Source organism: Homo sapiens, chromosome 4 (assembly GCF_000001405.40).
Source record: "Homo sapiens chromosome 4, GRCh38.p14 Primary Assembly".
NCBI classification, from domain to species: Eukaryota; Metazoa; Chordata; class Mammalia; order Primates; family Hominidae; genus Homo; species Homo sapiens.
In genome coordinates this window covers 918,295-932,423 of record NC_000004.12, presented here as the reverse complement: position 1 = coordinate 932,423, position 14,129 = coordinate 918,295, and the positions used below count along the sequence as shown (strand labels likewise).

The 14,129-nt window shown below is 53.0% G+C and overlaps 1 protein-coding gene across 37 annotated transcripts in view, besides 2 other annotated features; it reads left to right on the top strand.

Moving 5' to 3' along the window:
• Positions 3–322: a silencer, noted in NCBI's record as "silent region_15113". NCBI's record gives its function as "represses an Ori minimal core promoter by ATAC-STARR-seq in GM12878 lymphoblastoid cells {active_cell/tissue: GM12878}" and the evidence as "EXISTENCE:reporter gene assay evidence [ECO:0000049][PMID:35858748]".
• Positions 108–14,129, top strand: part of GAK (cyclin G associated kinase) — an 83,040-nt gene continuing 69,018 nt past the window's right edge. For all 37 annotated transcript variants that reach the window (XM_047450032.1, XM_047450022.1, XM_047450019.1 and 34 more), the window contains exon 1: positions 108–381. In XM_047450032.1, coding sequence (XP_047305988.1) covers positions 237–381 — 145 coding nt within the window. In that variant the 5' untranslated portion in view covers positions 108–236. The remainder of the gene's footprint in view (positions 382–14,129) is intronic.
• Positions 10,546–10,655: an enhancer, noted in NCBI's record as "active region_21139". NCBI's record gives its function as "activates an Ori minimal core promoter by ATAC-STARR-seq in GM12878 lymphoblastoid cells {active_cell/tissue: GM12878}" and the evidence as "EXISTENCE:reporter gene assay evidence [ECO:0000049][PMID:35858748]".

Below are 14,129 nucleotides of genomic sequence, written 5' to 3'. Positions count from 1 at the left end.
CGTCAGACCTCCGCGCCTGCGCGCGCAGCCAGGAAGTGAGGCCGCGGCGGAGGGGACGGGGCTAGGCCGGGTCGCCGCCTGACGCGACGCGTCCTCACGGGCGCCTACGTCACGGCGTCGAGGCGGAAGATGGTGCACCTCCGGGCCGGCGGTTGCTGAGCTGACCCGGACGGCGAGGGAGCGGGAGCCCGAGCCCGACCACTCCGGCTGCCGCGGGGTGCGGCGCAGCCACCGCCATGTCGCTGCTGCAGTCGGCGCTCGACTTCTTGGCGGGTCCAGGCTCCCTGGGCGGTGCTTCCGGCCGCGACCAGAGTGACTTCGTGGGGCAGACGGTGGAACTGGGCGAGCTGCGGCTGCGGGTGCGGCGGGTCCTGGCCGAAGGTGAGGCCCCGGGTCGGCAGCGCGGGTGCGGCCGCGGAGTGTTGTCTCCGGGACGCTGGGGGCAGCGTCAGCCCGGAGTGGAAGGGCGTGGGTTAGGGCTGGGGAGGGTCCCAGCGGGATCGTGGGTCAGGGTCGGCCAGGGGAGGGTCTCTGCCGAGGGCGTGGGTCAGGGCCAGGCGAAGGTCATAGCGCGGGCGTAGGTGAGTGCCTGCTGGCGGTGATTGCGGAGGGCGAGGCTGGGACCGGGTCGGGGTACTTTCTTGTCATAAGAGTAGGGTCAAGTCGGAGCAAGGCCTGGGGCTTGGGGAACCCCCTCAGGGTGGGTGGGGGAAGATGTTACGGTGAGGTGGGGGATGGTGGCAGGCAGGGAGCTTGGGTGGGGACCCACAGCGGAGACTGAGGGACGGTGCCTAGAAGGCCGACAGCTGGAGTCAGGAGGTGAGCGGTGCAGGAGGTGGGTTTAAGCCTTGGCCTTTTGCCGGACATCTGGGGTTATTGAGCAGGCAGGGACAGGACTGGACTTTGGAGGTTAGGGCTGGTTCTTCTACAGTCCAGGGAACTTGAGAGTTGGTGGGTGCACACGTGTTGCAGGTAGTTGCGGTTGTAGCCTGGGGGGTGGGGGGGTTGGCCGAGGGTAGACTGGGCTGTGTCTCGTGATCCCCCTTCGTCTTTCAACACCTCAGTGTTTCTCTTCCCGGTGAACATCTACTCGTGTGATTCCGTGTGTAGTACAGGAAGCAGAGCCAGTGGTTGTGACCTATATAGAACTTGCAGAGTGGACAGGTCACTCGGCTTAAGTCCTCTTGAGTCAGTCTTGAGTCAGTTTTGTCTCTGCATGCTATTTCTAGCTCCCTGGATGTCCTCTCCGTTCACACGGAATCGATCACCAGTGCCAGTGGGTCCCATTCTCTCTTGTGGATTTTCCTTACATTTTTTGTCCAGTGGTGCCTGGAGGTGTGTCATATTTCACTGGCTGTGAAGTTTATGGGCTAAACACAGTTGACTTGGGTGCGGAAGCGTAACTCTATTCTGCTGTATTGGCACAGGGAGAGGGAGTGAAGCGACACAAAAGCCCTCACCCTCACCAGCTCCCTGGTACCTCTCAGGGCTGGAGGGTTAGCCTGTCCAGGTGCCTGCTCTGTGACCAGACAGGAGACTATCCCAGAATTCTGATTATCACAAAAGGCCTGCGGAGACATTTTGACTGTAGCATTATCACACACTTTGTCTCCATTGTGGTCAAAACCAAACAGATTTTGGGTATGATTTGGTCAGAAAGTCTAAGCTCTTCTTTCAGAAGTGGGGGCTGAAGTGTGATATTCTTTCACATCAGTTGGAAGATTTCTCTCAGATCAAATCATTTATTCTGAAAATACTAGGTGGTTATCTTCATTCTTTAAGAAGTTTATTGTGGACAGGACTTGCTTTCTGGAACTTCAGACTTGTGCTCAAGGGGTGGAGAGACAGAGGCAGCACAGGGACAGATCCTTAGGGGTGGTACAGACAGTGTGAGCTTTGGGAAGGGGCCAAGCAGAAGATGGCACGGATCTTGGTGGGAGGGATGGAGAATGCACCCTCACTGGGGCCCGGAGAGGAAGATTCGTATAAAGAAAGAAGCTTGTGGGTCACTTAGCACCCAGGAAGAAGAACAAGGAAATGTGGGCAGCTGCTGAGGTTGTGCAAAAGAACTTGTTTCCCTTTGCTATCTAGGCAAGTCAGGAGATAAAAATAACCAATGCAATTAGGAGCTGTAGATTTCCTCCTTGTAAACTTAATAGGTGGCCTGCAGCCTCCTAAGTACTTTGAAGCCTCTTTGAACTGAAACAGAGTGTGAAAGCTGAATTAAGTATTTTATATAAACATACTTAATTAAGTTTTGTCTGAACAGCAACCTTAGAACATAGGCTATGGGAGTTTAGGCTGTCTTGTGTAAACATGGTGATGGCTGGTAATCTGAACCCTTGAGTACAGATGTTTACACTTCCAGAATTTTTCAGGTTTCAGAATGGTCATTGCAGCATATAACCTGTATATCGTGGGATACTCCCAGAAGACTTGGGAAAGTATTCTGTAATTGAATACATTAATATTTCTGTAATTAAATGAATAAATATTCTCACTGTGGGATAATTAAAGTCTGTAATTAACCCCATATCAGTTCATGTCAGGTTTTATCCCAAATGAGGTTATTATGATAGACCAGGATTTGCTGTCAAGTGAGTTAGGAAAAAATGGTTTTCATAGCTTTTAGGAATTTGGACTTGTGGTGTGAATGGGTTTTTAGGTAGAACTGTGGAACCAGATAGCTTTCTAATTTCTTCAAATTTGTTCTGTCATCTTCCTTTTTTTTTTTTTAATTTAAGAGACGAGGTCTTGCTGTTACTCAGGATGGATTTGAACTGGGCTCTGGATCTTCCTGCCTCGGCCTCCCGAGTAGCTGGGCTTACAGGCATGTGCTGCTGCACCTAGCTAGTCTTCACTTTTTTAAAAGGCAGATTATCAGGAGCACCAACCATGTCAGAGATGCCCAGGGCAGGTGTATGCTGTGTGTTCTTTGTTTTGGGTTCTGCGTGCCGTTGCTTCTGAAGTGGAGCCTGTGGTGCCCTGACTGCAGGGAAATCCACCTTCCCTGTGTGGCTGACTTGAACTCGGGGTTACTGCTAGTGAGATAAATTGAGGCAGAAAAGAAAACGATGCCGCACAGCCGTCGTATGGTTTAAGCGTAACCCGCCTCGTGCGTTTGGTTGGGTGTTGTATGTAATTTGAGCCAGCCCGCAGCCCTTGTGTGCCATGCGCAGTGTTAGCTGAGTGGCTGGGCCCGCTCAGGAGCCTTGGGGGTCAAGCTCTGGCCTAAGGAATGGGGAGGGCACAGCCTACTCCCACCCCCAGGGCCACTTGTGTGTGGTCCTGACTCTCCACCCTTCTTCCTCCTTGACATGGCTTTTGGAGGCTTCCTCCCTTCACTTACTTAGAATGTTCTGGGCCGGGCGCAGTGGCTCACGCCTGTGATCCCAGCACTTTGGGAGGCCGAGGCGGGTGGATTACCTGAGATCGGGAGTTCGAGATCAGCCTGGGCAACACGGGGAAACCCGTCTCTACTAAAAATACAAAATTAGCCGGGTGTGGTGACACATGCCTGTAGTCCCAGCTACTCAGGAGGCTGAGGCAGGAGAATCGCTTGAACCTGGGAGGTGGAGGATGCGGTGAGCCAAGATCACGCCATTGCACTCCAGCCTGGGCAACAAGAGTAAATCTCCGTCTCACCAAAAAAAAAAGAAAAGAAAAAAGAATGTTCTGGACTGGGTGAGGGCACTGTGAATATTTGGTACTGACTGACAGTTGCAGAATCATGTGGTACAAGCAAGACTCTTGGTTGCAAGTTTCAGAAACCCTCCCAGGTGGGCTCAGTGGCAGGAAGGCCCCATGTCTCCAAGGTGGGCTCAGTGGCAGGGGAGGCCGCATGCTGGCCCCATGTGTCCTCCGCAGGGTACACTTGAGATCATTTTCTTTTATTGAAAAGAGTCTGGCTCTGTCGCCCATGTTGAGTGCAGTGGAGCGATCACGACTCACTGCAGCCTTGAACTCCTGGGCCTACGTGATCCCCCTGGCCTAGGCCTCCCAGAGTGCTGGGACGACAGGCATGAGATAATGTGCCCAGCCTTAGACTGATCTTAAAAGTAGACCGGGCCGGGCACGACGGCTCACGCCTGTAATCCCAGCACTTTGGGAGGCCGAGGTGGGCAGATCACCCGAAGTCAGGAGTTCGAAACCAGCCTGACCAACATGGCAAAACCCCATCTCTACTGAAAATACAAAAACTAGCTGGGCATGGTGGCGCGTGCCTGTAATCCCAGCTGCTCAGGAGGCTGAGGCAGGAGAATCACTTGAACCTGGGAGGTGGAGGCTGCAGTGAGCTAAGATTGCACCACTGCACTCCAGCCTGGACGACAGAGCGAGACTCTATCTCAAAAAAAAGTAGACCCTTAGGTTGCTGTGGCGAGCCAGCCTTGTAGCCGACCCTCTTCCCACATAGGACTTGTGACTGAGGGCACCAGCCTCTGAAGCTCCGTGCTGTTCTCTTGGCCATGTGACTGAGGGCACCAGCCTCTGCAGCTCTGTGCTGTTCTCTTAGCCACCAGGGTTCTGTCATCCTTGCTTCTTTGTACCTCTCCTGGACCCAGAGCCTGAAGTGCGGTGGCTGCGCTCACCCAGGGAGGGGTGCGGGGCCTGCGCTCACCCAGGGAGGGGTGCGGGGCAGTGCAGAGCGCAGGTAAGCAGGGAGGGGTGCGGGGCAGTGCAGAGCGCAGGTAAGCAGGGAGGGGTGCGGGGCAGTGCGGAGGGCAGGTGAGCGGGGAGGGGTGCGGGGCAGTGCGGACTACAGGTGAGCGGGGAGGGGTGCGGGGCAGTGCGGACTGCAGGTGAGCCGGGAGGGGTGCGGGGCAGTGCGGACTGCAGGTGAGCCGGGAGGGGTGCGGGGCAGTGCGGACTGCAGGTGAGCCGGGAGGGGTGCGGGGCAGTGCGGACCGCAGGTGAGCGGGGAGGGGTGCGGACTGCAGGTGAGCCGGGAGGGGTGCGGGGCAGTGCGGACTGCAGGTGAGCGGGGAGGGGTGCGGGGCAGTGCGGACTGCAGGTGAGCCGGGAGGGGTGCGGGGCAGTGCGGACTGCAGGTGAGCGGGGAGGGGTGCGGGGCAGTGCGGACTGCAGGTGAGCCGGGAGGGGTGCGGGGCAGTGCGGACTGCAGGTGAGCGGGGAGGGGTGCGGGGCAGTGCGGAGCGCAGGTGAGCCGGGAGGGGTGTGGGGCAGTGCGGAGGGCAGGTGAGCCGGGAGGGGTGCGGGGCAGTGCGGACTGCAGGTGAGCCGGGAGGGGTGCGGGGCAGTGCGGAGCGCAGGTGAGCCGGGAGGGGTGTGGGGCAGTGCGGACTGCAGGTGAGCGGGGAGGGGTGCGGGGCAGTGCGGACTGCAGGTGAGCGGGAAGGGGTGCGGGGCAGTGCGGAGCGCAGGTGAGCGGGGAGGGGTGCGGGGCAGTGCGGAGCGCTGGTGAGCCGGGAGGGGTGCGGGGCAGTGCGGAGCGCAGGTGAGCGGGGAGGGGTGCGGGGCAGTGCGGAGCGCTGGTGAGCCGGGAGGGGTGCGGGGCAGTGCGGAGCGCAGGTGAGCGGGGTGGGGGGGGTTGCGGGGCAGTGCGGAGCGCAGGTGAGCTGGGAGGGGTGCGGGGCAGTGCGGAGCGCAGGTAAGCAGGGTCTCTGGGGCTTGGTTAGTTGGTTCTAGGTCATCAGGCCTGTGAGGCCCAGATTCTGCCACAGAGTAGCTGCCCCCTGGCGGCTCTCCTGGTACCAACCGCCTTCACTTCCAAGTTGACAGCTTGATCATCAACATTTGTCCACTTTGGCTAGTTCCCAGCGTGAAGTAAAAATGGTCAGAACCACCACAGCAACCCTTAGGGGCTCTTCGTATTTGCCGAGCATGGTCAGTAGTACTTTATGTGGATTGTGTGGTCCTCACAGTAGCCCTGGAAAGTGGGTACTATAATTACTTCCATCTCGCAGAAGAGAAAAGTGACGTTTGCAGAGATTAGTTGCTTGCCAGAGGTCGAGTGGTGGAGTGGGGGCTGGGAGCCCCAGGGAGGTGTCCTTAGGGCCCCTGTCCTGGCCCCCGTTGCTCTGCGCATTGTGCCCTGGAGGAGATGTCTGAGCATATAAGGTAGTAGAGGCTGTTGGGGCGGAGAGTGACAGGCCAACACCACTTCATGCTCAGCTGCGGCTGACCCTTGGCAGGAACAAGCCTGTGTTACTTCTGTGGTTTCTGTCTGTTAACATACAGGGAGGTCACTCTTGGGGAGGACCCCATGGGTGGGCTCACCATTGGGGGAGGTCACTGTCGAGGGAGGACCCCCTGGGGTGAATTAGACGTTCGGGGAGGTCACTGTCCAGGGAGGACCCCCTGGGGTGAATTAGACGTTTGGGGAGGTCACTGTCGGGGGAGGACCCCCTTGGGGTGAATTAGACGTTCGGGGAGGTCACTGTTGGGGACGACCCCCGGGTGGGCTCACCACTGGGGGAGGTGACAGTTGGGCTGGGCCACTCCCCTTTCCTCCTCCTCCACTCCGTGGACTCCTGGTGAATTGCTCATGGTTGTCTGTGTGGGTGCGCATCCCCGTGTCCCAGTCCGTCTGTGCTGCTGTAACAGAACGTCGTACACTGGGGGCCTATAAACCACAGACGTTTGTTTATTCCTCACGGCTCTGCAGGCTGGAAGTCCAGGCGCAAGGCGCCGGCAGATCTGGTGTCTGGTGAGGTCCAGCACCTTCTCGCTGTGTCCTCACAGGGCAGAAGGGGTGAGGGAGTGCTCTCTGGGGCAGTAATCCCAGTCCTGAGGGCTCCACCTTCATGGCCTAGTCACCCCCAAGGAGGCCCCACCTCCTAACACCATCACCTTGGGTATTAGGATTTCACACAGGAATTTTGGAGGGGACACAGATTCATTCTGTAGTGTTGTGAATTATGTGTGTATTGAAAATGTTGGTATGTGGTATTTTACGTTAGAAAAGTGTCTGTTTCTTAAAAGAGGCCGAGTTGATTAAAAAAGATACTCAGATCTGCCTGTAGTGGTCCTGTACTGACCTCACTGTCCCCCGGCACTCTGTCCCGTCCCCAGCGTGCTCCGTGCATCCTACACGCATCCTGGTGAGAGGTGTCCTCAGCCCTTTGCATGGACGCTGGTGGGCTGTGTGGGGGAAGGTTGCCCAGCTCTGCTCATGGGGCCTGCAGGCTGCTCGGGGGCACCAGACTCTAGTGTCCCAAGTCCTCAGAGTGTCCCCTGGGGGTTTGTTTTATTTGGACATTTTGATGGGTTTAAAAAGTGTCAAGCTTTGATTTGTGCCTTTCTGAGTAGCGAGTTTGGTAATGCTTATTTGCTGCTCAGCCTCCCCTTCTGGCATTGCACATTCATATCCTGTGCCTGTTATTTTTTTATTCTTATTTTTTTGAGATAGAGTCTTGTTGTGTTGCCCAGGCTGTAGTACAGGGGTGTGATCTCAGATCCTGGCAACCTCCTCCTGAGAGCAGCCCCCGGGCAGAACTCCACCCCCATGACCCAATCAGATCTCACAGGAGAGCACTCACTATCCTGAGAGCAGCCCCTGGGGGAACTCCACCACCACAACCCAATCAGATCTCACAGGAGAGCACTCACTATCCTGAGAGCAGCCCCCCGGGGGAACTCCACCCCCACGACCCAATCAGATCTCACAGGAGAGCACTCACTATCCTGAGAGCAGCCCCGGGAGGAACTCCACACCCATGGCCCAGTCAGATCTCACTATCCTGAGAGCAGCCACGCCATGGGGAACTCCGCCCCATAATCCGGTCACCTCCCACCAGGCCCCTCCTCCAACATTGAGGGTCACAAGTGAACATGAGATTTGCATGGGGACGCAGATCCAAACCGTATGTGCTGTTATGAATAAAGATCCAAACCGTGTCCGCTGTTATGAATAAAGATCCAAACCGTATCCGCTGTTATGAATAAAGGTGCCGAGAACATTTTTTTTCAAGTCTTTTTGTGGACGTGTGTTTTTCTTTGTCTTGGGTAAAAAATACCAAGGAGTAGGATTGCTGATTTACAGGTTGGATTTAGGTTGAACTTCACATGAAACAACCAAACCTCCTTCCACGGTAGCTGCACCATTTTACATTTCCACCAGCTGCAGTGGAGAGTTCCTGGCTCTCCACTTCCTCACCAGCATTTCTTGTGGTCTCTCATTTTGATTACATCCATTCTTGTGAGTGTGCAGTGGTGTCGATCTCATTGTGATTTCATTGGAATTTCCCTGATGATGATGTTCAGCAATTTTTTTTTTTTTTTTTTTTTGAGAGGGAGTCTTGCCCAGGCTGGAGTGCAGTGGCTCCATCTTGGCTCACGGCAAGCTCCACCTCCCAGGTTCAAACAATTCTCCTGCCTCAGCCTCCCAACTAGCTGGGATTAAAGGCATGCACCACCATGCCCAGCTAATTTTGTATTTTTTAGTAGAAATGGGGTGTCACTATGTTGGTCAGGCTGGTCTCAAACTCCTGACCTCAGGTCACCCGCCGGCCTTGGCCTCCCAAAGTGCTGGGATTACAGGCATGAGCCACGGCGCCTGGCCTTTTTGTCCATTTTTTATTGGGCAGGGAGTTTCTGCTTACTCTGGATACAGGTCTTATGTTTATATATTTATATAATTTATGTGAGAAAGAGAAGGCAAGCCTTAGCTGTGGTCACTCTGCTGTCCCAGGCCAGGCTGCCTCAGGGAACCTGGGCCTTGAGATTTGACCTGGCTTGAGCATTTGATGTCTCTGTGCCTCCACTCCCCACCCCTCCACTCCCTGCCCTTGAGATGAGGTCTTGCTTTGTTGCCCAGGCTGGAGTGCAGTGGCATGATCACAGCTCACCACAGTCTTGAACTCCCGGACTCAAGCGATCCTCCCACCTCAGCCTCCCAGGTAGCTGGGACCACAGGCACGCACCACCACGCCTGGCTAATTTTTAATTTATTTCTGGTAGAGATGGAGTCTTGTTATGTTGCCTGTAGGCTGTTCTCAGAACTCCTGGGCTCAAGTGATTCTCCCACCTCGGCCTCCCAAAGTGCTGGGATTGCAGGTGTCAGCCACTGTGCCTGGCCTGTGCCTGTTCCTTAATTGGCAGAGTGTGTGCTGTAAAATGTATATAACAGGGTCTTGGAGGTACCCGACATGCCATTCTTTAATGTCTTATACGTTACTATTATTTTTAAATAAACTGTATTATTTTGAGTTCATTGTAGGTTCCCACGCGGCTGTGAGAAAAGATGGAGATCTTTTCTATTTTAGACCCTTGCCTGGTTTCCCCAGTGGTGACGGTCGGGATGCTAACCCTGGTGCAGGTGAGGCTGTGGAAGTCTCCATCCCCGTAGGGAGCCCTCATGCCACCTCTCAGCCACGCCATTTCCTTACCCTCTGGAAACCTCTAGTCTTTGCTCTGTCTGTGATTTTGTCATTCGAAGGATGCAGTGTAAGGGGAAGTGCAGAATTCTTCAGGTAATTGTGTGTCAGTAGCTTGTTTCCCGTGGTGAGACTCCTCTGCGTGAGTGTGCACGGCTTGCCCAGCCAGCCACCCGTGGAAGGACATCTGGGCTGTTTCCTGTTTTGGCTACTACAGATAAAGCTGCTGTGACACTTGCGTATAGGTTTTTGTGTGAATATACGTTTTCATTTCTGGGATAAATGTTTAAGAGTGCAGTTGCTGGTTCATGTGTGGTAATTATGTGTTTAGTTTGTTAGAAAACTGCCAGATTGTTTTCTTGAGTGGCCATACATTCCCACCAGCAATGTAGGAGCGTATCAGCCTGGTTAGGCTGCCATAACAAAATACTCCAGACTGAGTGGGGAGCAGTAGAAATTCACTCTCGCAGTTCTGGAGGCTTGAAGGCCAAGAGCAAGATGCTGTCAGTGCTGATTCCAGGAGAGGCCTCTTTTGCTGGTTTGCAGATGCTGCCTTTTTTTTTTTTTTTTTTTTGAGATGGAGTCTCGCTCTGTCACCCAGACTGGAGTGCAGTGGCGCAATCTCAGCTCACTGCAACCTCTGCCTCCTGGGTTCAAGCAGTTCTCTTGCCTCAGTTTCCTGAGTAGCTGGGACTACAGGCGCCCACCACCATGCGCCGCTGATTTTTGTATTTTTAGTAGAGACGGGGTTTCACCATGTTTCCCAGGTTGGTCTCAAACTCACGACCTCAAGTGATCTGCCCGCCTCGGCCTCCGAAAGTGCTGGGATCACAGGCCTGAGCCACCGCGCCCGGCCGATGCTGCCTTTTTGCTGAGGGGATGCTGACATCTCTGGTGTGTCTTCATCTTATAAGGACACCAGTCCTATTGGATTAGGGCCCCACTCGTATGAACTTATTTATCCTTCATTACTTGAGGGCCCGTCTCCGCATAGGGTCATCTGGGGCTTCCGCAGATGCATTTTGGGGGCACACAGTTGAGTCCCTAACAGCGAGTTTCTCTTTGTACTCACCAGCATTTGGCGTCGTGGTTTTTACTGTGATCATTGTGATACATGTGTAGCGATACCTCCTTGTGGTTTTGATTTGCATTTTCCCGATAGCTTGGGAGTGCTTCTTTGCCATCTGCATATCTTCAGGGGTGAAATGTCTGTTCATGTCTTTTGCCCACTTCCTAATTATGTTTTTTTGACCAAGTTTTGAGTGTTCTTTATTGTAGATTTAAGTCCTTCGTAGACATGGGGTTTTCAAGTATCTGTTCCTAGTCTGCAGCTTGTCCTTTCGTCCCCTAAACAGGATCTTTTTGGACGCAAACTCAGACCAGTTAATTAAAAAAAAAAAACAAACAAAGCGGGGTCTGTTGCAGATCCAAAGTTTTTCATTGTGAAGTCTGATTTATTTTTCCTTTTACGAATCACGCCTTGTCACAGCTAAGGATTCTTAGCTCTTTATCTTGAAGATTTGTCTCCTGTGTTTTTCTGAAAGTTTTAAACCTTCACAGTTGCAGATTTATGTCCGTGTTTATTTTGGTGAATTACTGTATGTGGCTGGCATTTACATGAAGCTCATTGTCTGGCACCATTTGTGGATCTTCCATGGAGTTGCTTCTGTGCCTCCCTCAGAAATCATCTCGATGGGCTGGGCGTGGTAGCCCAGGCCTGTAATCCCAGCACTTTGGGAGGCCAAGGCACCTGAAGCCAGGAGTTCGAGACCAACCTGGGCAACATAGTGAAACCCCGTCTCTACTAAAAATACAAAAATTAGCCGGGCGTGGTGACGCACGTCTGTAGTCCCAGCTACTGGGGAGACTGAGGCAGGAGAATCGCTTGAACCTGGGAGGCGGAGGCTACAGTCAACTGAGATTGTGCCACTGCACTCCAGCCTGGGTGACAGAGCGAGACTCCGTCTCAAAAAAAAAAGAAAAAGAAGAAGAAATCACCTGGATTGATTTGTGTGGCTGTTTCTGCGATTTTCTTTCCATTCCAGTCATCTTTGTATCTGTCCCTCTGCCAATACCACATAGCCTTGATTAATTTAGCTGTGTAGTAAGTCCTGAGATCAAGTCCAGATATTACTATCTTTAAAAATTATGAAATATTTTAAAATGCAGAAAAATACAGTAACATAACGAACACCTATGTCCTACTATCCAGAATAAACGTTAACCTTTTAACAAAATAGTATCTGGGGCCGGGCATGGTGGCTCACACCTGTAATCCCAGCACTTTGGGAGGCCGAGGCAGGGGGATCATGAGGTCAGGAGATCGAGACCATCCTGGCCAACATGGTGAAACCCCGTCTCTACTAAAAATACAAAAATTAGCCAGGCGTGGTGGTGGGCGCCTGTAGTCCCAGCTACTTGGGAGGCTGAGGCAGGAGAATCGCTTGAACCCGGGAGGCGGAGGTTGCAGTGAGCCGGGATTGTGCCTCTGCACCGCAGCCTGGGCAACAGACCAAGACTCCGTCTCAAAAAAAAAAAAAAAAAAAAAATGGCTCTAAACCTTTTTCACAATTTTGGTAGAATAATGTCGCAATATTCTTGGACTTCTGGGACCTTCTCCTTCCTGGTGGCGTTTTCACCACCAGGAGTTCAATGCACATCCTTCCTGCTCATTTTCCTTCCGCTTTCCCTGCACTGTGTGTGATACTGCGTTAGAGGTGTTAAAAGTCACATCAGTGATGCTGTGTTTTTTTGTTGTTGGTTTTTTGTTTTTTTTTTTTTGAGATGGACTTTTGCTCTGTCGCCCAGGTTGGAGTGCAGTGGCGTGATCTCGGCTCACTGCAACCTCCGCCTCCCGGGTTCATGCCATTCTCCTGACTCAGCCTCCCGAGTAGCTGGGACTACAGGTGCCCGCCACCATACCGGGCTAATTTTTTGTATTTTTAGTAGAGACGGGGTCTCACTGCGTTAGCCAGGATGGTCTCGATCTCACCTTGTGATCCGCCCTCCTCAGTCTGCCAAAGTGCTGAGATTACAGGCCTGAGCCACTGCACCCACCCTGTTTTTGTTTTTTAAGACAAGATCTTGCTCTGTCATCCAGGTTGGAGCACAGTGGCTTGATCATAGCTCACTGCAGCCTCAAACTCCTGGGTTCAGGTGATCCTCCTGCCTCAGCCTCCCTAAGCTTTGGGATTACAGGCATGAGCCGTTCCCAGACCTTAGTATACACTTTTGGTCAGGCACCACTTAGGTGCTGGATGTAGATGTAAACAATGTGGAGGAAATTTCTGCTTCATGGTGTTTGTAGTCTAGCTGAGACAGACGGTAAACAGGTATCCGAGTAGTGTGTGATGTAATGTTAGATATCAGAAAGTGTCAGGAAAAAGGAACAAGTTAATAAAGAGTGGCTGGGATGGGCAGGTGCATTAGGGAAGGCATCGCAGAAGCGGTGAGGAGCAGCTCCTGAGGGACGCAAGGGAGCAAGCCAGGAGGTGCCCAGGGTCAGGGGCCCCTTCCAGGCCTGTGGTGTGTGGGAAGGCCCTGGGCAGGAATGGGCCTGCTGCGTTTGAGGAAGAGCAGTTGTGTCAATGTGGTGGCTTGGAACCAAATGCGGGGTGCGGCTGGAGAGGAGGAGGCTGGGGAGGCACCCAGAGACCTGTGGCCCTGCTAAGGTCATGCGGCACTGAAGGCCTTTGGAGCCTTCTGTCTTTCTAAGGTCATGGGGCGCTGAGGCCCTTGGAGCCTTCTGTCCTGCTAAGGTCATGGGGTGCTGAGGCCTTTGGAGCCTTCTGTCTTTCTAAGGTCATGCGGCACTGAGGCCTTTGGAGCCTTCTGTCTTTCTAAGGTCATGGGGCGCTGAGGCCTTTGGAGCCTTCTGTCCTGCTAAGGTCATGCAACACTGAGACCTTTGGAGCCTTCTGTCCTGCTAAGGTCATGCGGCGCTGAGGCCTTTGGAGCCTTCTGTCCTGCTAAGGTCATGGGGCGCTGAGGCCTTTGGAGCCTTCTGTCTTTCTAAGGTCATGCGGCACTGAGGCCTTTGGAGCCTTCTGTCTTTCTAAGGTCATGCGGCACTGAGGCCTTTGGAGCCTTCTGTCTTTCTAAGGTCATGGGGCACTGAGGCCTTTGGAGCCTTCTGTCTTTCTAAGGTCATGGGGCACTGAGGCCTTTGGAGCCTTCTGTCTTTCTAAGGTCATGGGGCGCTGAGGCCTTTGGAGCCTTCTGTCTTTCTAAGGTCATGGGGTGCTGAGGCCTTTGGAGCCTTCTGCCTTTCTAAGGTCATGCGGCGCTGAGGCCTTTGGAGCCTTCTGCCTTTCTAAGGTCATGGGGCGCTGAGGCCTTTGGAGCCTTCTGTCTTTCCAGTCATGGCATCTGAAAATGAGAGGAGTTTTAGTTCCTCCTTTTTTTTGTGTTTAATATATTTTTTAATTGACAGATAAAATTGATGTCTTTGTCATGTACGCTATGATGTTTTGAAGTATATATGCATCGTGGAATGACCACATCTAGCTAGTTAACACATGTACTGCATCATAGTTGTCAGTTTTGGGGCATTTTTCAGAATGTAATCTGTCGTTAGTAACTGTATAGTCACCGTGTTGTACAGTGGATCTCTTGAGCTTATTCTTCCTAGCTAACTGAAGTTTTGTCTTTCGTTAGTTTTTCCTTTTTGATCTTTATGCCTTTTATTAATTTTCCTAGCTTTCTTGCATTAACTCGAATCTCCAGTAAAATGTTGGCTTACAGTGCTGAGAGCAGACATCTTGCCTTGTTTCTGATCTTAGGAAGAAAACACGA